General features: G+C 35.9%; 1 long non-coding RNA gene across 1 annotated transcript in view, besides 1 other annotated feature; it reads right to left on the bottom strand.

Annotated features, from left to right (window-relative positions):
- The window catches only part of LOC105375158 (uncharacterized), a 130320-nt gene that overhangs the window by 92631 nt on the left and 11849 nt on the right, over nucleotides 1-25840 (bottom strand). The gene's annotated exons all lie outside the window — the stretch shown is intronic.
- Nucleotides 19769-20063: a silencer, noted in NCBI's record as "tiled region #6845; HepG2 Repressive non-DNase unmatched - State 7:EnhWF, and K562 Repressive non-DNase unmatched - State 7:EnhWF". NCBI's record gives its function as "represses a minimal TATA promoter and a strong SV40 promoter by Sharpr-MPRA in HepG2 and K562 cells {active_cell/tissue: HepG2 | K562}" and the evidence as "EXISTENCE:reporter gene assay evidence [ECO:0000049][PMID:27701403]".

Below are 25840 nucleotides of genomic sequence, written 5' to 3'. Positions count from 1 at the left end.
TACAACAAGGAGAATGTATGCAAAGTCAGATTCCCTCTATTCAGGAGAAGTTATTTGTCTGGACAGACTCTCTGCTTTAATCTCTTCATTGAGAGTCTTTAATTCTCTGCATTGAGTACCGCCAGCAAAAGTGCACTCTGCAGTTCTAAGGCAGTGAAGCAGATCTCTGCTTGCAGAAAGGATGATACAAGGCACTCCTTACCCCATTCTAGAGGGAAGCCTGTTGGCTCAGTATGTCTTATCCTCTCTTCAAAACCATAGCCAGGGCCACTTGCTGCTGGTTAGAATAGCTTGCAGTTTTCCCAAGGTCATGAGTTCTAAAGTAACTAATTCCTGGAAAACAATGCAAGCATTTGATAAAGTCTAGTCGAGTTATTTCTCAGTTCTGACCCTTTGCCCAGCTGGCTGGCAGAATCTAGTACAGTAAATCCTCATTTAATGTCATTGATAGGGTCTTGGAAACCACAATTTTAAGCAAAATGACACCTCAAATAATGTCGTTTTATTCAACATTGTTTCATTATATGTTGATGAGAAGGAAAAAAATGATTTTCTTATACAGCGTTTTGCTTAAAGTTGCCATTTCCAATAAGCTATTCATGACATTAAGTGATAACTTAGCCCAGCTTTTAAAGTGGACAGACCCACGGGGAGAAAAGTTGAAAGCTTCATAGAGATGGTCCTTTGAGAGTTAAGTATCCGAGAATGAAAGCAATGAGACCATATGATTGAGAATTATGAGTAACTTTGAATATATGATTTTGTGTCCAAAATCCCTTATACATGGGAAATCAAAAACTGAATCTTTTTTACTATACACACGAGTAATTACATTGTTATACAGGTGAGGATTAAACAATAAGAACAGAGATGGTAAGAGAAGGCAACATTCTTTTGGTTACAGTGAAAGTTATTGGAGCCAGTGAAATAAAACCCTCCAAGTTTCTATTGGGAAAGTTATGTCCTGAGTTGGTTTCACTTTAGGAAAAAGAGTGATGACAAGGAAATATGAAGAGAAGATTCACTGTCTAGAGAATGCTACTCAGTAACTGAAGGCTCAAGGGAGTAAAATCCATACATTAATGGCAAACCCTAGGGACAGAGATTGTAATATTAGGTGTAATGAGGTAGGGCCAATGACTGAGCCTACTTTGATCACCTCTCCCATGAAATGATTTGACACAGAACAATAGCCCATTGATATTTACTTTTGTTTTGGCATGAACATAAAACTTTATATGAATACTGATTTCAGATTTCTATCTTTCCGTGAATACTGATTTGTGAATGCCAGCTTAGCTTTATCAGACAAACCCACAGAGTTCCTTAAATATTCAGACTTCCAGGTCTCAACTGTAGAGATTCTGATTCAGTAGGTCTGGTTTAGGGTCTGTAAATCTGTATATACAAATTCCCTGGATACCACTAATGTATAACTAAACTTCAAAACTGACGGCATGCTCAGCAAGGCACTAATTGACTAGAAAACATCCATTGAATACAAATTTAGTACGGATACTAGTTTAAGAAACCTTCAGACTATGTGTCTGTAACCTACATGTTTAATCCTAACAGCATAACCCATTAGATTATAAACACCATGAGATCAGGGATGATGTCCATCTGATTCACTGTTTTCTCCTAAGTAACCGGCATTGGTTAAGTCGAAGGCAAGGAGTATTTGATGAATAAATAAACAAGTAATTCACTTGTTAAATAATGTTTAATTTCCAAATAACCTTATGTTGCCAAAAAAAGCAAATCAAAAACTTGTATTTTTTCATTTATCAACTTCTTTTATCAACTCACAAAGTAACAACTATTTATTGAAAGCTTACTGAACGATAGATATGATGCAATATTTGTATATCCTATGGTATAGAAAAGTGCCTCTTTTCTAATGAAAATATAAAACCTTTTGAGTCTCCAAAATGAGAGTCATTCTTTGAGTACCTGAATGCCTCTATTTTCTGCAAAGGTGATTATTATGCAGCTGTGAGACACTACAATAAAACCCCAGACAAAAGTTCATGCTCTCTGTGACTTTTATAGCTGAGGTCTTGAATCTGGTTCATTTTCCCAATGATCTGTGTAGGGTTGAATGCCCATTTTCCCATAACAGTCAGAAAATTTCAACAAATTCTTTCAGAAGCAAACCTTTCAAATTTATGACCTCTTAACCAAAAGACAATCTCTACCAGTTTTTTTATTTACTAAACAAATGATTTTTAAAAAATCAATACATAACACACATGCACACCTATACAAATATTTTCCTAGACATGCATATGGAAGGTATTACATCAAGACTGAAAAAGATAGCTAAGGAAGGTTGGCTTAGGTAATCAGAGTAACTATGCAATTATAAATGACAGATACAGTCAAACCAGAAAAAAATTTCAATCTATTTCCTATCTCTGCAGTATTATCATGGGAGAGTGTTAGAATAGACCTGGCATCCTATTTCCTTGGAAGCAAGATGAACCATTTCCTCATTGCCTTCATAGAAAATCCCATCAGAAAAACATCTGTCTCTAAAATTTCAGTATTTTCCACAGTTCTCTAAGCCATTTTTTATATCAAGCTATACTCTTTGAGACAGTTGTGTTTATCATTTAGGGAATGTTGTGAGTCTCATACCCCTGGCTCAGAGCAGCAGGGCATAACTGGATTTGAATTTTTACATAGTCAAAGGGGTCCTAAATGGTGGGCACAGGGGGTGGTAATATTGTGAATAAACAGAACCAAACTGGTATGCCTTTTATGTGTGCATTGTTTTGTGAGAATCCAAGCATTTTCATTTTTCATTATCTAATTATGGCAACAGTGAAAAGAATATATTCCAGCCAGTTCACAGCCTTAATAAGTTATAGTCTGTTTTAGTTTATTTAAGGAGGGTGGTGGTCTTAGAAAAGTACTCCACAAAAATGGGATTTATTATGATTATAGTTTTAGAAATTTATGTAGGAGACCTCAATATATCAGGTCAAATACCCAATAGATCTTAGAGTTTGTTTGAAATAGAAGATAACAGTAAAAGGCATTCCCTGAATTATTTCAATTAAACCCTTAATTTTCTTGAAGGTTAATAATTTCAAGAATATTCAGAGTGGTTGCCTCACTTCAATTTAGTTAATTAAATTATATTAATCTTGGTTGATTGTATCATACAACACATGATTGTATAATCATCCATTATCTGGTAATTTGGCATAACCTGAGCCAAGGAGCTGACATAACAGATTGCAAATTTTATTTTATCTGGTTTACTTATTAAGTTTAGTTTGTTGACTAAACTACTTGAATCAAACGTTAAAAAGAAAACACCTTTCAGATTCTTAAAGTAAGTGTTTATCAGAGATCAAAGAAAACTGTGACTCATTCCCAGGTGTGCTGGATTCACTTCATCTTCAATGGGGCATTATGTAATTTTTTTACAATAACCTATGAATACTGAACCAATGAGTGGCCTCTCCTAAATGGCATGGCAATCATGGCAACATGCTCTGAAAAACACTAACCTTATTAAAAAGTGATGAACAGATATGTCAGTTTATAAATGTCATACCGATTTCAAGTCCCCATGCTTAAATAGGTTTTAAGCAAGGAAACCCACAACTTGGATTGTAAAGTAGCTATCTATTCGTAATTACTTGCAATAGCAGAGCTAAATTTAGGTCAGAATTCTAGATATTTATAAGACTAATGTAAATATAAAATGTACCTCAAAAAGTTTCAGACCTACCAGGGTAGGTTAAAGACCTGTTTGAAATTTTTCTAGAGTTGGTTGTTTAAATGACACAGCAGTAAAACACAATTTTCAATATTATATGGCATAGGTTTTCATAATATAATGGGTGTTAGACCTAATTAGATACATAATTCAAAATATAATGGAATGCAAAGGAAAGTATAGGAAATCTATGACAGATTTCTCTCGCAAATACATTTCACCTTAGTCTTCAATAGAAAGAACATATATCAAGGAAGGAAAAGTAAGAATGCAAGCAGATCAATGTAAGCTGCACTTGAGAACAGTCAATGAACAAGATGATTCGTTGGCCACTTAAACTCTATCTAACCCAGAAAGCTTCCTGAAGGTGAATTTCTCATGGTAGCAGTGAGGATGAGAGGTATGCTGAAGACTTTAAAAGATGTGCTTATGTGGAAATGAAAGAAGTTTAATTAAAACCTAAAAAGACCCTTTTTGGGGAATACAAATAGTATTTTCTAAAATCAAATTGTGAAGTTATTTTGTCTAACCAAAAATGCCTCCAACTAGAGGCAACAAGCCCACTGCCATTCCAGATGATTCACAGCTCTAATCAACAGAGCAACCAGAGGACCCATTTAAAATACAAGTCACATCATGTACTTTCTCTACTCCAAATTATCCACTGTTTTCCCTTATTCAGAGCGAACCCAACCCGCAGGTGCTACAGGATCGTCCCCTCCTCACTTACTGCTGGCCTTCATTGCCTGCTCTGCTCCACTTTCCTCCCTGCTGCCACGCTGGCCTCCTTGTTCCTCCTGCAACATGGAAAGCAGGAGCAGGGCATTCATTTTCCTGACATCCACATCTCCTTGAGGTTTTGCTCACCTTCTCTATTTGAAATTATGATCCTCTTGCCTTCCCCATTTACAATTCCTACTTGACTTCCTTGCTTTACTTTCCTCCACAACAATTATTTTCCATAGATAGAATATGCCATATATTTTGCTTCCTCAAACTATGTCAGCTACATAAGGGCAGAGGTTTATTCTGTTTAGTCACTGCTGTGTCCTCTGCCCCTAGAAGAATTCTGGGCAAACAACATGTGCCCAATAAATATTTGAGATATAAATAAATTAATGACAACCACAAATCCCCAAAACTCTGGGAATATTAGCACATAAACTATGTATTGCGAATTCCCAAGTGTCTACTTTTTTACCTTAAGTTTCAGCTCTTGCCAGCATCCTCCAACACCATGTCATGAAAACTGCATGTGGGAGGTTGATCTCATTTCTTCTACTTGCCATTCGTGTAAATTCTAATTTTTAAACTCCTGATAAAGATACATCTCCTCTTGGAAACATAACTTCTCCAAAAATATGTATCAAAACTTGCAATATATTAAGTAGTCCTCCAGGCATAACACTCCTTATAGATATAATATTTAAGAGACAGAGTATCTCTCCTTGAGTAGTTTTCACCCTGTAAAATTTGGGGAAATGTGTATACCCAAGAATTTCCTATGAATTTCCCAGTGATTATTACCTTTATCAACAATTTGGCTCTTGTGCAGTTATATGTATCTTCATTAATAAGTTCCTTCCTTCGTTCACTTAGTAAGTACTTATGAAGTCCCTATCACGTGGCTGGCATTGTTCTAGCTGCTGAGGATACAGACACAAACAAAATGGACAATGTTCTTCCCCTCAAACAACTCACAGACTAGTGGCCAGAGACAGCTGGTAAACAATAAATAAGTACATCAGATGCGTAAGTTGTGTAAGTATGTATAAATTGATTATTGTAAGTGTCATAGAGAAAAATAAACAGGGTAAGTGGAATGAGGTATATCTGCATATTTTATATTATGGAGTCAAAGGAGCCCCTACTAATTTCTTGATATTTGAGCAGAACCCTGAGGGAAGTGAGGGAATGATGTCTTGAAAGGAGAAACCCCAGAGGAGAAAGAGCAAATGCAACCTCCCCTCCCCCGCCAAGAAAAAAAGCCTCAGAGGCAAGTGTGTGCAATGTCTTATGGATGTCAGTGTGGGTGGGGCAAGGTGAGGGAAGTGGGGAGGGAACTGGGACAGTGGGGGGCAAGATCATGGTAGGTCTTGAAGGTAATGATGTTTCCATCCTGCCTCCCCAACTCCCAGATAAAGTTTCTTGAGTAGAGAACTGTCTTATATATGTACTTTATACCTTCCACAGAATGTGCTATACGATCTTGCAGAGTGGATGTTCAACAACATTAACTGTGAGTAGAAATTACCGTTGGTACCCACAAAAAAATCAGCTACAAATACCTTGATGTTCCTCAAATGAGAACAATTTACCCATGGAAACATGAAATAAATTCCAAACCTACTGAATTATCCTACCTGTACAAATGTATACAGTTCAGGCCAGAAATAGAAACTTTCCTAAAATTTATGGCATCTCTCTCTCTCGCCCTCCCCTATAGCCCCAGAAACTACTGAATCATTCTAAACCTTTTATTACTATGCTTAGTCATTTTTAAAAACTTCTCAATTAATCTTTATAATTTCAGAGTTTTTTCAACAATTAAAATGTTTTCAATTGAATTTTTTTTTCAACAATTAAAATCCTTTGGCTCCCTATGCTTTTCTTTCTTTAGACATGCTGTTTGCACTTTCAGGCTGTCCTGCTGCACAAATGTTAATATGTAATCAGTCATTCACTAAGTAGATATGGATGTTGGACACTGACAATGCAAAGGCAGGGTACCATATAACATTTGAGATTCAAACACAGATGTTGAAATTGGAAAGTCAGACCTGGTTTAGAATCTCTCTGCTAGCTGGAAGATCACATTTATAAAAGAAGGATGAGAACAGTAAGTAACTCATAGACCTCTTGCAAGGTTTAAGTGAGAGAATTCATGTAAAGTGCTTATCATAAGCTTACAACATAGTAAAAGCTCCATAAACATTAAATATAAATAGTATATTAAATATTACTCATATAAATATTAATATTAAAGATGATAGACAATTTTAAACTTTCTCTCCATGCCTACTCTTTCTCCTGAGCTTTGTTACCAGGCATGTTTCTACCTGATGCTATTCCAGTGACTACCATCAATGAATCCAGAACAGAAATTTCATCATCACATTTTTACAGTTTCTGCCTTACAATAGTATTTCAACAATTGCCCCTGTATCTGCAGACCCAAACATAGCACAAAAACAGCTTTCTAAATGATCCGTCTGCCTCAGATCTTCCTCTCCTCCAAAAAAAAAGGACATTACCTAACATTAATATTAGTAGCCATTAGTATTATATGTTGCATGAATGAATCAATGGATAAAGAAAAAAGGCAATGTGATAGAAATTCACGTTGGCATGTTCATTGGGTTCTTAATTATTAAATGATGTGCTTTTTTTTCTCTCTCTCTCTGGTTTCTCTGAGGGGGAAGGTCTTAGAACAAACTCCTCTAAGGCCAGCCTGCCGCCAGCTTACTAGAGTGAAAGTGATTAGCTGCCTTGGGCAGATCACAAGGCTAAAGCTAGGCATGTGGGACAATGATAAGCAAATAATCTTTCCATGAACTATAATGGGAAGGTTTTCTCTCCTCTCTAAGTACTTTTCCTTTCCTTTGTTAGCTGCACCTAAAATTATGGTTAAGCATTTTGCTCTGCATCTTGTCCTATTTATTTAGGAATCCTATAAATAGCATGCTTTGCAAATCTGTGATTTTAAAAGCTAAAATATCCACGTTCAATTCAATTGTTTCAGAAACCTCAAGTAACAAGCACACTCTGATATGATTTCAAAATACTTTTAGATCAGAAGATCCTAAAGTGTTTATCTATACCTATAGAATTAAAATAGTGTCATTAATAGATTAACTGCACTGGTCTTTTTTACCTAGTAGTGAATAAATATAAACTAATTGGTACATATGATATTTCAGTGTGACAATAATGCATATTAATTTGCCTTTAGTGTTTTTATTTGGCTTTTTCAGTTTAGCCAAACGAAGGCTAATATCAAAACAAATACCTTGAGAAACTCTTGAGAACTGTGTTGTTTCAAAATAAATTTTCAACAATTCAAATAGAGTTTTTAGATGTTTAATAAAATTATAAATTAACTGATTATCACACTGTGCTTCTCTGGGTTTGAATACAGTAAGCAACATGGAAATGGCTTTATCTCCATAATTTCTTCATTACCACATATGTTATGAATGCAAGTTTTCTTTTTAAAAATAGATAACTAAAACCACATAATTACATAAAACCATTATTTTAGCTGGTAACCGACATTACCAATATGTCAGAATTTTATTAATAGGCTCCCTTGCCCTTTTCTCTGAAGTAAAAATATATAAACTGCTTACTCCAAGAATTGTGGGCTTTCCTGTCCCTTATCTGTGATTCTTTCATTTGTTTTCTGCTTACAGTGTCTGTCTGGTTCCCCATTATTCTGCAAGGCATAGTGCATGGAATTTGAAATCCAGAAACTTTTTTTCAACTAGAAAAGCTTTCCCTTTTAATAAGTCACTTAGAAGAAGATGTTGGTCCTAAGGAAATTCCTTAATATGGGGAATAGTAATCACTTTTTCGATCTTTCCTACATATAAAATATTTCTTGCCAATTCTATGAGAATGGATTTTTTTTCTTGGAAAAGCGCTCATTTTTAATCCATAATAACATAGCAGAGGTTTTGGTTGGTGAATACTTGTTAATTAATTTTGTTTAATTTTCTTTTTAACTATGTTCTCAGGTTTCTTTGGTGTCAGATTCTCAAAACATAAGACAGGATCGCAGCCAACAACTTTAATTTTCTCACTGTTGTTTTCTCTCTCCACATCTCATCTCCTTTCTCTAAATACAGAAGATGTCAGAAAAGTTAGAGAAAATGTGAAGCGTGGAGGCAAAACTCTCTCTAAAGTGGCAGGATCAAGCATTGGGCTGTACAATTTTTCTCAAAAATTTTTATCACAGTGGAGCATTCTGAAGTTCTGTAGAGGAGATTAAATACACCACATGGCAGTGAATGGTCCATGCTGAAGCGAACTATTACAAAGCTTGAAATTTGTTATTTTACAGTTTTCATGTGAACATGGATTTCGTATTCTACATTCTGCACCACAGTTTATATAAATGTAGGCAAATGTATAGATGTATAAATAGACATACACACAATAACTGGTCAGTTTTCAACTTTTCATTATAATGGCTCTTGAAAAGTTACACTATGGTTTTGTTTGTTTGTTTTTTTGTTTGGCTGGTTGGTTGATTTTTTTGTTTGAGACGGAGTCTTGCTCTGTCACCCAGGCTGGAGTGCAGGGGCGCAATCTCAGCTCACTGCCACCTCCACCTCCTGGGTTCAAGCGATTCTCCTGCCTCAGCCTTCCAAGTAGCTGGGACTACAGGTGCGTGTCACCACACCCAGCTAATTTTTGTATTTTTAGTAGAGACAGGGTTTTACCATACTGGCAACACTGGTCTCGAACTCCTGACCTCGTGATCCACCCACCTCAACCTCCCAAAGTGCTGGGATTACAGGCATGAGCCACCGCGCCTGGCCCCATGTTTTATATAATGATTTCTTTGACATTCTCCCTGTGTAATGACTATTCACCCAAAGCACAATAAATATGTAAGAGTGCTATGTCTACAATATTGCTTGAGGCAAATACACTCTATTTGCTGGTCACTGCGAATTCTAAGCAGAGAATATCATATAGAAAATATAAATTGTGCCCTATTTTTGAATGAACCAAAAAAATGCTTTTCCTTGAGTACATACACCAAACAGGAGGAATACTGGTACAAAAGTAGATACATATACCAGTGGTACAGAAATAAAGGCAAATACTTAAAACAAACTGATCTTTCACAAAACATACAACAATATAAACTGGGAAAAGGACACCTTATTCAATAAATCATTCTGGGGAAACTGGATAGCTACATGTAGAAGAATAAAACTGGATCCCTATCTCTAACCTCATATAAAAAATCAACTTAAGGTGGATTAAGACTTAAATATATGACTTGAAGCCATAAAAATTCTAGAAGAAAATTTAGGAAAAACTCTTCCAGACATTGGCTTAGGCAATGAACTAAGGACTAAGACCCCAAAAGCAAATGCAACCAAAATATAAATAAATAAATGGGACCTAATTAAACTAAAAAGCTTCTGCACAGCAAAATAATAATCAGCAGAGTAAACAGACAATTCACGGAATGGGAAAAAATATTTGCAAACTATGCCTCTGACAACTAGTATCCAGAGTCTAGAAGGAACTCAAACAAATCAGCAAGAAAAAAAAAATAATCTTATCAAAAAGTGGGCAAATGACATGAATTGACATTTCTTGGAAGAAGATACATGAACGGCCAATAAACACACAAAAAATATGCTCAGCATCACTAATCATTAGAGAAATGCAAATTAAACCACAGTGAAACCTTACCCAAGCCAGAATAGCTATTATTTAAAAGTCAAAAACAACAGATGTTGGAATGGATGTCATGAAAATGGAAGGCTTATACACTGCAGGTGAGAATGTATATTATTACAACCTCTATGGAAAACATTATGGAGATTTCTTAAAGAACTAAAAGTTAATATACCATTCGATCCAGCAATCCCACTTCTGGGTATCTATCCAAAGGAAAATAAGTCATTATATCAAAAAGACACCTGCACGTGTATGTTTATGGCAGCACAATTCACAATGGCAAAGATACAAAAACCACCTCAGTGCCCACTGATCAATGAGTGAGTGGATAAAGAAAATGTAGTATATCTACACCATGGAATATTACTCAGCCATAAAAGAGAATAAAATAATATATTTTCAGGAACTTGGATGGATCTGGAGGCCATTATTCTAAGTGAAACAACTCAGGAATGGAAAATCAACTACTACTTATTCTCGCTTATAAATGAGAGCTAAGCTACGGGTCAGCCCACTGAGGCTGGCAGAGATCAAGCTACCTGCCCAGGTCCACACTACAGGTGGACTGAGACTCACACCTCAAGTGCCCTGGAGTCCCCATAAATCTCATTAAGGATGCTGGCTCATCTGCTTTGGGGTGATTCAGGCTTTGAGGGTCATAGCAAGCAACAAACCCAGGCCAGGCTAGATCAGCACAGAACAAGATTATAGAGTCCTTCCCAGAATTGTGGGGCCTGAGACTGCTGTGGCACTTCTCTAAGCCTCTGCAGGGAACCCTTCTCTGGCCCCAGCCCTCTCTTCCTCAGAATTCTTTAGTTGGGGGGTCCTGGCCTTTCAGATCCCATTTCTCCGGATGGAGGATTAAAAATACCTATGTCATCAAATACAAGACATCTTTGGGAGTGAGATGCGCTATCATTTTGTGAATTACCATGGAATTCATTAATTTGATGACACTCTGGATTTAAACAGTCAGGGTGACCTCCAGGTTGATAAACTGTGAAAAATGGTAATACTATAGTAATAAGAATAAGTGATATTTATTACAATTAAAAAGAAAAAAAGAAAACGCTGGGAAATCTCTGCACTACCTTCACTTACGTGCAATGACGGGGGCAATCTTAATCAGTTCAATCAATGCAAGTGGAAATAACTGAAGAATGAGTGGTTGAATACTTAGATTTCATTTTGCTTCAAACCGATCATCTTTACAAGTGTTTCTTAATTCAAGGCTAAAAGCTGGGGATATGGGACTTCTGTATGAAAAACAGTCTTTAGCATCAGAGCACCTCTATTTTGGGGAAAAAAAAAAAAAAAAAGGAGGCGGGGAGAAATGCATTCTGAACCAAAGATAAACTCTCAGCTCCAGTTGATTGAAATTCTGTCCTAGAAGAAAAATGAGTTTGGTGTAGTTTCGCAAGGAGCCTGTGCGAAAAACTCATGAGCAGGCAGAATTACCCTCATTCTACACTGTGCTTTTATTACTCCAGCTAGTGCTGCTGTGATGGCGTTTATCACCCCCTTCCCATCATGAAATCAGTAGTCCACACCCTGGCCCTCCCTCTAGGCACTTGGGCTGCACAAGACCAGGCAGATTCTGTCAATCTTCTGTTCTATTTCTTATCAGTCAGTGTATGACTGTCTTGAACAGTGTTTGGTGCAGAACAACTTTAAGAAATGATTATCGAATTAAAATGTTCAACTGCAAATTAACTGATGTCATGAAAGATATGCATCTTTCTCAGATAAAGTGTGAAACTAACCAATGTTCTTGCATGTAGACAGTAAAATATATTTAGAGATTTTTATACTGCAACGGGAATTTTGAGTCTGAGAAGGCAAATGGAATGCTGACATTGCTTATATGAACATTTGCTTCATCCATTTCCCATTTCATTTTATAAAGGAAACAGCCTATCCTTTTCCCTTTCAAACTCCTATGTTAGCTTTATCAGATTGGTTTTTTACTCAACACTGTAAGGTTTGATTCCATTCTTCCTTCTAACTTTCCTTCTTCCTCCCTGATACTCACCTTTTTTCCTTCTTTCTTTCTTCTTCCCAACACCCACTTGTTTTTTTACCCTTTTAAAGAAAAAAGTTTTTCTTAATTCTCAGATTTTTATGTGTAGGCACCCTAAGGACAGTACCTTTCTTTCACATCACTTATTATTCTCATTTCCATCTCACCTTTCTTGCCCTGTTTTCGAACATAGATGACACATGATCAGGAATACTTGTGGGGAACAAAAAAATACATCCCTTTATTCTTTCTAAAATAATAAAGCTTGGAGGAATTATTTTCACAGATTTTTATGTTTTCCCTCTTTTTTTTTTTTGCCATCTCACTTTTCAATACTATTTTACCATTTGAAACAATTTCTCATGTCTCATTTTACTCATGATATCTAAGAATACTTTATCTTATAGAGTCTATTCAAAAGTCTCATAAAAATGAACAAATATTTTCATAATGAAATCAACGTTTTTGTTCTCAGATTACTTAATGTCTCGGATAATATTAAATAACTGCTTTTATTTTATTTTTTGAAACTCTCCCTCTATGGATTCTGCCTTTTATTGTACCTGATCTTCTTACCCCATGTCATGGGGTTCTTTTTGTTGGGAATGGTAATGGTGAATGTGAAAATAATAAAAACAACGCTGATTACTTATGTATCATTTTATATTTTACAAAGTATTTTCATAAGGATCATCATGCTTTAAAAATATTGATTTATCACACAGTAATCACAGATATCATATGGGTGCACATATGTACATCTACTCCGCACATCTTCTTTTTTTTCTTTTTTTCTCAGATGGTCTCCTTCTGTCACCCAGGATGAAGTGCAGTGGCATGATCTCAGCTCACTGCAGCTTCAACCTCCCAGGTTCAAGTGATTCTTATGCCTCAGCCCCTGCAAGTAGCTGGGACTACAGGCACCCGCCAACACTCCTGGTTAATTTTTGTATTTTTTGTAGAGACGGAGTTTTGCCATGTTGGCCAGGCTGGTCTTGAACTCCTGGGCCCAAAGGATCTACCTACCTGAGCCTCCCGAAGTGCTAGAATTACAGGCGTGAACTACCAATAGCCCGGGCTATTCCAACATTTTCTTTTTTTTTTTTTTAGTTTTTTTCGAAGAAAAGTGACTCTTGTTCATGTCATTGCTTATTTATTTATTTATTTATTTATTTATTTATTTATTTTTTGAGATGGAGTCTCACTCTGTTGCCAGGCTGGAGTGCAGTGGCGTGATCTCTGCTCACTGCAACCTCTGCCTTCTAGGTTAAAGTGATTCTCCTGCCTCAGCCTCCGAAGTAGCTGGGACTACAGGCGCATGCCACCACGCCCAGCTAATTTTTGTATTTTTAATAGACAAGGGGGTTTCACCATGTTGGCCAGGATGGTCTCGATCTCTTGACCTTGTGATCTGCCTGCCTCGGCCTCCCAAAGTGCTGGATTACAGGCATGAGCCACCGCGCCCGGCCTGTCATTGTTTTTTTTAATCTTTCCTGCAACCTCGTGACATTTACTTTCTTATACTGATGACTGTGACGTAGTTTGAGGAGATTTTTTCACTGACTCGAGGTTGGATAACCGTATTAATAATAGTCAACATTATGCTAAGTACTTTATGTGCATTGTTTCCATTTAACATCACAAAAATCCTCTGAAGAAGGCACCATACCGTACTTTTTACAGATCAGTAAAGTGGCGTGATGTGTAAGAAACATACCTGAAGTCACTAAAATTCTTGTATATGGTATTAATAAGCCTGTATTCTTAGCAGTTACAATATCAGACTCTTCTAGAGCTGCCAAAACACAGCCTACTGTTGGCCACTCTGCTGTGAGCTTAGGACATAAAGTGGATCAAAAGCTAGGTTATCCTCTAATTTCCATCCCAAGGTCCATCTCATTGCACTGTTATTTTTTAATTCAGAAGACACACAAGATGACCAGCTATGCAAAGTGTACATACATGGTCAATAATTTAAAGAGATATATAAATTAAAACGATCTATTATGTAAAAACAAAATTACAGGTACACTTTGGAAGTCTAGGCCTCTGCATTTGTAGGAAAACATCCCTTGCATAGTTAACAATTTTTAATCAGGAAAGCCTTCTTCCAGAAATGAAGATTCCTAAGCTATTTGAGGAATGGGAGAAAATGACACATTGGGAAAACTGAGAAGGGCTAGTCTTGCATAGGGTGTAGCTTGGGGAAAATGGTGTGGAGTGTCAGGTGATGGAGTGAAGAGTCCATGTTCCTTCCAGGAAACCATCAATAAATCATTTTGTGGAAAACCTATGTAACCTTCACAGAAGCCTGGAGCATGTTTTCCCTCTGAACATTATGGCATCTGGCATAATGAATGGATGTTCCCCACCCAGCTATGCTTAAAAAATATCTGGGGAATACCTCAGATATTAAGGGCTCACTGGAATATTCTCTGCCTCATTTAGTCATCCCAAACAGGCTGCTGACATCTGAAATTAGAAATAAAATGGCTGAAGCACTTCAAAGAAAACAGATTCCACTGATATTCTTATTTCCTCATAAAAAAGAAATAGTATTTCAGTATGTCAGCTACTCCAGATTCCAAAGCAGGCCACACATTTTGTGACAGCTGCTGACATAAGCAATTTCCTCAGATTAAATTTTCCAGTGTATTTCATACAGAAGTAGAAGCCTTTGCCTGCAGACTGAATTTTAACCTAAAATATGGTCCCATTCTGTTCTCTCAATGTGTATATAAAACAACATAAAATAACAACAGTAAATGCTACTAATGTCTTTAAACTATTTATAGAAAATGAATAAAGTACTAAATAAAAGAGGTGTTGAGAAACTATTTAAAATGATTTTGGGGGTTGTCAGAGTAGAATAACTTACACTCTTGAGAACTACATGAAACTCTACTTTTGAGAATCCAGGCCTGGCATCAGTGGCACTATGAAGTTTATTAACTCATCTCCCCAAATCCAGCCCTTACTCCTCCAGACTCACATTGATGAAGCGCAAAAACTAGACAAAATATTCTATTTCTAAAAGAGGTTTAAAATATTTTAAAAAGCACTAAAGACCTTACTGAAATACATGTAAATACTGAATATGTTTTTAGGTAATTCCTTTTGCTCTGGAAGACTGAAAACAAACATACAATTAATGAGGGAAAAATGCCACCATCCACAGAAGAAAAGTACATATGCTCAAAGGGAATGGAGGTGCATTAGCCAAGTATGTGAAGCTCCAAAACACTTTTTCCAGGAAGAAGATAACAGGCATTCTTTGTAAGACAAGTATCCTGCTCTGGAAATCATCCAGACAAGCTCAGGTGATGACCCACTCCTGGAATTAGACTTTTTCTTTTAAATGCCAGGAATAATCCAACCTCCTATTAGATGGCAACAGACTAAGAAGGCACCACTGTGCTCTGTATTCTGGTTATCTCCAGGATCTAGATGAATCCTTTTTTTCATAGAGAAAGTAGTCAATTTGGCTCGTGACACCACAGAGATGTGACTTTAGTCAATCCTGGAGGTGGTCTTCATGTATTACTTTATTCTGTAAGATTCCCAGGTGCATTCAGACTTCCCATATTTTATATCAATTTCAATGTAGGACACTATTTGAAGATGGTTGGATTACAATAAACTTCAATCCAAAATTTCATTCCAGAGAGAAAGATGTGTTCCTGTTTAGCAGAGATATTTAGTACTTAGATCAAAAATGATATATCCAGCCTTCTTTTTCAACAAATAAGAAGGAGCAACATATAAAGGCAAAAACTTGGCTAAGCCCTGTGTTGCCTACATCTCACGTTAGGTCTCTGCCAAATCTTGCTCTTCTGCTCTAGACACTGACTGTTTTAGAAAATAATCATGCTCAGAAAAATGTGTTCTAATTAGAATTATTCAAGGACCATTTTAGATTAATGGGAACAATAAAATGTAACCATTTCACAATAATGAAACTAAGCTGAGAACTGTATAGTCCTAACGTTTGTGTACTGAAATACACATTGTTTATAGCAAATATAGGGCTTTAGAAGATCTTATTAATATTTTTAGGCCCATGAGGCGGTAATGGAGTACAGAAATCTGGATTCATCTCATATTAAAATTGCAAGGTTGAAAGTATTCTTAAAGATCATCCAGTTCAACTACTAGTCTACAGTCTGAATCCCTTTGCTATCATGTCTTTAATGATATTACTCAGCATATGTTTGAATGTATCCATTAAAGAGCTTTTTAAGTGCATCTAAGAGAAACTCAACTTAAAATTAACTTAAATAATAAAAGTAATTTATTGGTTCGCGATGCTAAAGTTCAGAAGTAGAATCAATTTCAAGGAAGTCTTAATTGAATGGCAAAAAAGGCCATTATGGTCTACCTTCTATCCATGTCTCTATTGGGTCCTTCATGATGTTAAATCCTCCTAAAGGCAACCCCTCTCATGGTTAGAAAAGAGCCAACAGCCCCCAGGGTCACATGCCACCTTCTTCACTTACAGGAAGAACTCTGTCCTGACAACCCAAGCAAAGGCCCAACTTTGCTAGGATATGCTACCTTAAATCACATGCTCACTCAAGAACCACTGAATGTGGCCCAGGGGCTGAATCACCTACTGATGTAGCCTTGATCATGTGCTCCTACTCTCAGAACAGGATTTAAGTCAGCTTTTCTAGAACTATACGGATTCCTCATGATAAATCCAGACTTGTGAGGAAAAGTGGGGGAAAGAGAATACATGGCCACAACATTGAATGTGTCCGATGACAATGATCTCATTTATTCCCAAATTGTTCCTTCTGTATTTGGTTTTATCTGATAGAACTATTCTAAACCATAGGTAAACGTCTATATAATAATTGATCCCACGTCATATGTGTGAACAAAGCATTAAAATAATCATACCTATATTAAATTTTCATCACCACAGAAGAGTTATATCGAGTGAAAATGTTGGCATGTTACCTGTAAGTATTGCTCTATTTTTATTTAAAAAGACAACACCAATAAGACAAGGCAAGACAGGTAAATTGTGGTTAAGTAAGTAGCATGTTTTGTGTAGCTCTCATCTATTTGAGCTGTTGGTGAAGCGGCAGCCGACAATTGTAATTGGAGTCTAACAGGCAAATTTTAGTAATACGGATAACAGATATGTCTTCAAAAATATACATGCCCTCATAATATTCAGAGAATGCCACATTTGTGCATGTATATGGTTATTCCCACATACCAGCTGGGGTAACTCAGATCATCTAAGTTGCTATTTACAAATTCTTATTTTACTTTTGACTCTAATGTTACCCAAAAAAATGTGCTTTTATTTGTTGCCTTGCCAACCCTGGATTTATTTTCATGACCTAGGCCATATCCCAAATAATAGGAAAATCAGGAAAACTGAATTCTTCTGTTAGTTCTTCTTTAGCCTTCAACTTTTCTCAGAATTACCTTCTTGATTTGACATCTGTGACTTACAACTGAAGCTTTGTTTGTTTAAATGACTCACTTTCTTATCCAGTCATCTTCTCAACATACGGTGTGAGTAAGTGCCAAGAGAAATGTGATTGCTTGTGGAGAGAAAAACAGAAAGAAGCTAAAATACTATTCTTTTAAAATGTTTGCTAAATTAATTAGAAGATAAATTCTTGCTCTGTCACCCAGGCTGGAGTGCAATGGCGCAATCCCGGGTTCAAGCGATTCTCCTGCTTTGCCTCCCAAGTAGCTGGGATTACAGGCACCCGCCACCACTCCCGGCTAATTTTTTGTAGTTTTAGTAGAAATGAGGCTTCACCATGTTAGCCAGGATGGTCTTGAACTCCTGACCTCGTGATCCGCCCGCCTCAGCCTCCCAAAGTGCTGGGATTACAGGCATGAGCCACAACGCCCGGCTAGATAAATTCTTTAATATAGAATTATATTTCATAAAGTCATAGTAGCTTGTAAGTTTCTGAAGAAGAGATAATTTCTTATTTTTATTTAACCCTAGGTCTGAGACCAGTGCCAAGAACAACACAGGTCTTAATGCATGTTGGACAAATAAATTTGACAGTCTTTTGACATATTTGACCGTATATTGAAACAGATTTCCTTTAATAAACTTTTTAGATAAAATAATGATTTAGCAATTTTAAATTATTTTTACTTTATAGGTACAAATGCCAAGTGAATGAACTGAAAATATGTGGTCAGTTATTTCCAATTATTTTCTGCTACCATAAATTTCTTATAAACAAGCACTGGAAAGTGGAGCTGGAGATAACTAATTTTCCTGTTGTTTTGGGGACCTGTTGTGGCACAACTGACAGACTCTTCAAATGGTTTCTTTATAAATATAGTCCAAGACTCTGCCAGGCATCATCCTTACACACTTGGTGACAATACTTTTTCATTAGCAGTATTTGACTCTTTTTAGTATCTATTTCAGATTCCTCCATAGTCTACAGCATGTGAAGTAAATGGGACCATATTTGCAGACAGGAAGAATGACAAGAATAAATTAAAGTGCAATATTTTTTCCTTTGGTAACATGAACCATTTTATATATTATAGCAGCTATCATATACAAATAACAAACATTTAACTACAATGATATACATTTGGTTTTATTTTTTAAGTGAACTAAAAACTGACTTTTGCTGTCAATCACATCTTTACATTTAATACGTGTACATCAACATCTTTAGTTGATAATATATAGAGTTCTGCATTACATTAGAAGGTATTACCTGTGTACCATTCCATCTTCTACACACCTTTGTGTAATCACAGAATGTAGCACTATTACAGTGTAAAGGTTTATTGTGTGATTGAATAATATCTTTAGACACTGCCAACTGAAAAATCATTCAGTACATATAATCCACATTAGTGACCTATACTTTTTGGTGGAGAAAAGAAAGACAGTCTGAATTAGAAGATGAAACGAAGCAAGTCCATACAGGCTTTGTATTATATATATACATATATATATATATATGTAGTCCTTGTATGTGTATCTACATGTGTTTGTGTACATATGTGTATATATACACACATATATACATATCTCTCACAAATTATATTCCTTATAAAGCTTTATTTTCTACGGAGAAAAAAGAAGTTTGGAGTTTTGGGGCATAGGGATTCTAACTACATGTAATATCATCTGTCATTTTACTGCTGGACTCTGAATATCACCAGCAAGCTCATTCTCATGTCTTTGCATCTTTGCAAACTCATAGCTTGTTTGGACCCACAAACTGGGTTTGTACTTGTAGTCCTACCATTAATCCTGTTATATAAAGACAAGTTTGTCTGGCTGCTGACCAGTTTAAAGACAAGACAGAATCTCTTTGTACTCAGTGCACAATTATGAAGCTGTGCTGCTCAGAAAGGACACTTACATATTGACATCTCTTTATTTTTTTCTTTGGAGGACTTTATATTTAACTTGTTACCGCCACATGCTTGATGAAACATGTAGATAAATACACAAAGAATGAGCGCTGACTGGGATAGCTATGAGAAGAGTTAAAGCTGAGTTAATGTGAACTAAATTAGGCCCTTGGGAAATTTTCACTTGCTACTTCTAAAAGTAATAAGAAACTCACAGGAGGTGATGCAAGATACTGCACTTGTTTTTATTAGATGCGAAGAATGCTTTGACTTAAGTCAGTGGGCTGCCACTGTAATTCCCTATCAATGCTTATTCACAGGCACTGTGTAAACAGGACACCACGGTCCCTTCTAGTGCAATGTTTTTACATAGTACACACACACACACACAAATTTCTTACCTGATTTTTTTCACTTCTGCTGTAAGCATTTTTATGTCTTATCATCATCTTCATAGTCATTGTTTAATGGTTACAAATCATTTTATCCAGTTAAACAGATTTATTATTGGCTCTTTCAGTTTCTATCTAGCACTCTGATAAGGAGAGAACCTTAAATTGGCAGACCTTAAAACTGGAAAATTTGCATGCAGCTGATGTTATCTGTAGAGCTATTGTCTACAGGTATTGTTTTAGGGGAAAAAAAGGCCACTTAACAATTTTATGTCTTTTGAAAGTTAATGCCATGATTTTTCCAAAAGGAACAGATCAATTTTCACTGATATAGTAATATAGGAGTGTCCCATTTTCACTACACTTCACAAGGGGATGGCACTTTTCCTAGAAATCCTCTTAATAAAAGTTAACATGTGTTTAGTACTTACAGATTTCAGACATAACAATGAGGATTTTGGGATATAATCTCACTTAATCCTGCAACAACTATATGAAGTGGGTTCTACTTTTATTCCCACTTCATAGCTGAAGCAACTTAGTCCAGAGTGACTTTGTAATTTGCCCAACTTTACACAGTCTGTAAGCAAAGAGTCAGGGCTCATCTGCGGTAAAACTGGCCAAAATCCATGCTCTTAACCTACAGATTCATACGATCATTTCCTATGTATAAACTGTCTCTTCTAACATTTGTCTACTTATTTACTGATTATGCTATATTATTAATCTATACCTTATTTCCATTGGGAAATGGTATGCAATAAATATGCCAATCTGCTTTTTCCTTCACATTCCAATATCAATAATCGATTATTTAAAATCTAGCTTCAAAAATACAAACATTTTTCCAAACTATACTGCAGATTTACTATTTAGCCATGGAACATCACTCTGCCTCAGTCTTGCCTTTGTTATGGAGTGAGCTATGTAACTTCACTAATGAAAGGTACTAGGAAAACAACGTGACATTGCAAAGAGGAAAATGATTTTAAAGCGTTATTGCATTACTGATGACTTTGGGAGGTGGATATCTCAAGCTAATATCAGTCTCTAAGAAAAAAAAGCAAGGAATAAAAAACTGGTAATCAGGTCTTGATTTTCATCAGAGATTTATACTCTAAAGTTTATTATTGGCACCCAGCTATCAATTCAGAAAAGATAAATCAGGTTGGGCGTGGTGGCTCACGCCTGTAATCCCAACACATTGAAAGCCAAGGCAGGAGGATGGCTTGAAGCCAAGAGCTTGAGACTAGACTACCCCAGGTAACAAAGCAAGACCCTGTCCCTAATAAAAATAAAAAATAATTTAAAAAGTTTTTAAAAGGAGGAAAAGAAAAAAGAAAAAAAAGCCAGAAAAGATAAATTAAATTGTTTAAAAAACCTCACATAAAATTACTACAGAATTTTTCATTAAATATTTTATAGAGCTTTTAGTTCTAGTATATAGTTTATCTTGTCTCTCAGTAAACAAAATCCCTTTGTATTTTTGTGCCAGATACAATGCTTCTTATGCTACGGTTTTAAATGGAATTTAATATAATGTCATATAGGTTATAAGAATGTATCTTAAACTATTCTAGTTGTCTTCAAAACGCCTCTTGGTATTCAATATAAGCATAACATAAAAATATGGATATGTGAACAAACGAAAAGCCAAGAAAGAGTTCCACATGTCTAAAAACGTTATTGGAGGGATAACATTCATAGCAGCATTATACGAATGCAAAATCCTGAAAACAAAGCTAATGTCCATAGACATGGAAATGAGTAAGCATATTTTGGTATCATTCATGCAATACAATTTTAAAGAACACTGAAAATTAGTGAACTACAACTTTCCTTATCACATAGAAGACTCTTATAAAAATAATGTGTAAAAAACGTATGACAACATAACACATATTACTACTGTATTTATGTAAATTTCTAAAAAAATTGCAAAACTGAAAAATATTGACAAAATTATTTTAAAAATAAGAGGATAATTAACTTCTAAAGGATAGTGGCAGGGTAGAGAGATTAAAGATGAATGTACCTGTCACTTCAAAATTTCCTTAAACAGGATTTTGGATTAGTAGTACAATACATACTTACATGTACATTATTTATTATTGAGTATGTATGTCATGTTTAATTTCCAGAAATATAAACTCTAATAACATCCCTATGTTTGTAAAACAAGAGAATTAAAAGGATTATTTTAAAGATAATAACTAATGGAAACAGAGTAACTAAATAGCAATTCGGAAAGAAAACTTGGAAATGTATCTTGAAAATCAAACCAAATACACCCCAGGTAGAGTTAAAAGTTCAAGAAAAATTTTGAAGGTCAGAGAAATTTACAGGCTGTTTATCATATCTGGAAACAAATTATTATTTTGTCAGCAAAAGAAAAAACTGTATAAAGACATCACTGACAGATTAAAATAAGTTAATATTTTAAATATCTGTACCCTGCAAGAGGCCGGGCACAGTGACTCACACCTGTAATCCCAGCACTTTGGGAGGCCGAGGCGGATCACAAGGTCAGGAGATCGAGACCATCCTGGCTAACACAGTGAAACCCCGTCTCTACTAAAAAAATTTAAAAAAATTAGCCAGGCATGGTGGCAGGCGCCTGCAGTCTCAGCTACTCGGGAGGCTGAGGCAGGAGAATGGCATGAACCTGGGAGGCGGAGGTTGCAGTAAGCAGAGACCGCGCCACTGCACTCCAGCCTGGGTGACAGAGGGAGACTCCGTCTCAAAAAAAAAAAAAAAAAAAAAAAAAAAAAAAAAAATCTGTACCCTGCAAGAAAATAAAAAGGCAATGAAAATTATTCAACTAAGATAAAGCTAAAATATATTAAGACTTCTTAAATTTAAAATAATCCTTAAATGCTCTAACTGGTAAATGATTGGAGAATCTTACAGAAACATGAAATTATTATTATTATTATTATCACTATTTTGAGACTGAGTCTCATTCTTGTCGCCCAGCCTGGAGTGCAATGGTGCGATCTCAATTCCCTGCAACACCCACCTCCCTGGTTCAAGCGATTTTCCTGCCTCAGCCTCCTGAGTAGCTGGGATTACAGGTGCCCCCCTGGCTAATTTTTTTGTGAGAAACATGAAATTATTTAGGGATACCTACACAATTGCTTCTTTATAGAATTCACCACTCCTGAGTTTTAACTTTCCCAAGGATACTGGTCTTCCAAAGGAATTTTAAAAACAAATTAAAGAACCACACTAGGAGTAAATAAACGTATAATTTTTGCATTATCTTACTTACGTGGCTTCAGATTTTATCTACCCATAAGAAGAAAAACACAGTAAATACTAACTGGCTTCTTGCCATGAATCCAGTGGCAAAGCAGGCACATTATTTTGCATATTATGTTTACTTTTATTACATTTCTCTTGGCAATAGAAAATATTCTTGTGAAAGAGGATGACCACAAAGACCATTTGAAGTACATGATATATAAAATAAGTCTTTCCAAACTTATACCATTAAATTGGATTATCAAAAAAAAATTATGATAGTTGTTGAGAATAAATCTCCAGTTTTTATATCAGAATTGTGAACTACCCAGAAAACATTTTAGCCTTAGATAAGAAAAATTATAGAAGTTTATAGAATTAAACAAGTTCCTAAAATAGAAATATAAATTTAAGTTAACCACAAAAAATACATTTTATTTCTCTACGATGACTCAAAAGGGGTATTTACATGTGTAAAAATGTATCTTTGTGATTGAAAAGATTATGTGAATTCACTTTCTTCACTGATGTAGGTACAGAATACACTTAATACCAAATAATTATTTTAGATATGTATTTTAATGTCATATCAACAATTTATTTTCCTGAATCTAGTAAGTCAAACTATTAAACTGCCCTCTAAAAATTATTTCATAGTACATTTACACTATTTGAATAATTGAAAGATCAATTTACATATGACTAACCTAAATTGTCCAATGAAGTATTATTTTTATGAATTTTGCTAATCACACAGATGAGACTATTTGATGGGATTAATTATTTGATCTCAGATATACTTAAAAATGAAGGAGATTCTCTGGAAGAAAATTTTCCTACATTTTTATATTATTTCCCTCCCATTGTTATAAGTAGGCTATTGGTTCTATGCATGCTCCATAAGTGGATGTACTGCTGTATATGAATGTGTTATGGCTGGGGTGAAGAGAATTTAGAAGTAAGCTAAACTTGCCAGGCCAAGTCCAAGGATCTAGGCGGAATAAATAAAGTCCTGTGGACAAAGGATACACTTAAAAGTCAGTGTGTGAATTGTGAAACATTCCTGGGAAGATGAATCTTGAGTTTTGGCTCTAAAGATCAGTGTGGTTATTTTCATTCACTGACCAAAGATAGTCTAGGCAAAAAGGTAACGTGTGGAATAGAAGGGAAGGCATTCAAGAAGTTCAATACAAATTAGTCAATATAAAATTGATGACAGAGAATCCACGCATAGATTAGATTTTAAAATGCCTAAAGGAAGAGACACAATCAGCATTAGGAAAATATTTTCTTAGAAAGCAAAGCCCATGACCACTAGGCTTGAGTGAGAGGAAAAAAATATTATACAAAAGTGGGGAAATTCCTGGAAGAATTTTAGAATATTAAAAAAAAGTTTGGTTGGGCGCCGTGGCTCACATCTGTAATCTCAGCACTTTGGGAGGCCGAGGCAGGTGGATCACAAGGTCAGGAGATTGAGACCATCCTGGCTAACACGGTGAAATCCTATCTCTACTAAAAATACAAAAAATTAGCCAGGCGTGGTGGCGGGCACCTGTAGTCCCAGCTACTCGGGAGGCTGAGGCAGGAGAATGGCATGAACCCAGGAGGCGGAGCTGGCAGTGAGCCGAGATCGCGCCACTGCCCTCCAGCCTGGGTGACAGAACGAGACTCTGTCTCAAAACAAAAAAAAAAAAAAAAAAGTTTATCAGAGAGAATACGGTGAGAGGAAATTGGCATGCCAACCAAGATTCTGGCACAGGCATACAGAAGTAAAAATCTGGGTGCAATATTGAAGTTGGGGATTGAACCTCAAGAATACAGACAGAAAAAAACCCTGTCCAATCATAATTCGGGAGCTAGTCTAAATGACAAAGGTAAAGGTAAAATATAGATAATCAGGCTAAAACTCCTTGAAAACCCCTCCTGCTTATATTAAGATTATTACTGAAGACAACAGTGAGTATGTAAAAATTTGGGAATATCCACAAATGTTGGGAAAAGAAGAGCTAACCAGTGTTGGTAATTTAGCAGAAACTATAGCTAGGTCTTAAGAACCAAATCTACATTGTTACTCGTAACATGGAAACTTCATTTATTTATGCACTATGCATTTTGTTCTATGAATGATCAAGGCTTTCACAGAGCAGTGGGTGAGTCAGAAGCAAACCAACAAACAATGGTATATGATCAAGGCTTTATTTCATTCGAAGGATGAGTGCAGGTAGGAGGCCTAACCACAGGTGGGAATGTTTCTCTGAGAAGGTAATGTTCCTGCTGCTGGAAAAGAGGTATTTGGTAAGGAAGGGAGTTAGATAAGACAGGTAAAGGGGACAGCACAGTAAAAAATGTGTGAAAATATTGCAAAATCACAAAGCTGTAATACAGTGTGAAATAAGAAAATTTATTTTAATTTAGGCATTTGAAGTCTAATCCTCCCTCCATTTTACCCAAGATCATCTACAACAAAAATAAACAACTGACTTGGTGTCTTAGAGCAGTCACTTTTCTACTGTCTGGATTTCCTTAGTGATAAAACAGGTATAACATCTATCATATTTATCTAGTGGAATGTCAATATCTAATGGAATGTAAGGTTCAGGAGATAGATAGATATGCTGTGTTAGTTCATTCTCACACTGCTATAAAGAAATACCCAAGACT

Source organism: Homo sapiens, chromosome 7 (genome assembly GCF_000001405.40).
Source record: "Homo sapiens chromosome 7, GRCh38.p14 Primary Assembly".
Classification (NCBI taxonomy): Eukaryota; Metazoa; Chordata; class Mammalia; order Primates; family Hominidae; genus Homo; species Homo sapiens.
The sequence above is the reverse complement of the archived record's forward strand: the minus strand, read 5'-3'. Positions and strand labels throughout refer to the sequence as shown.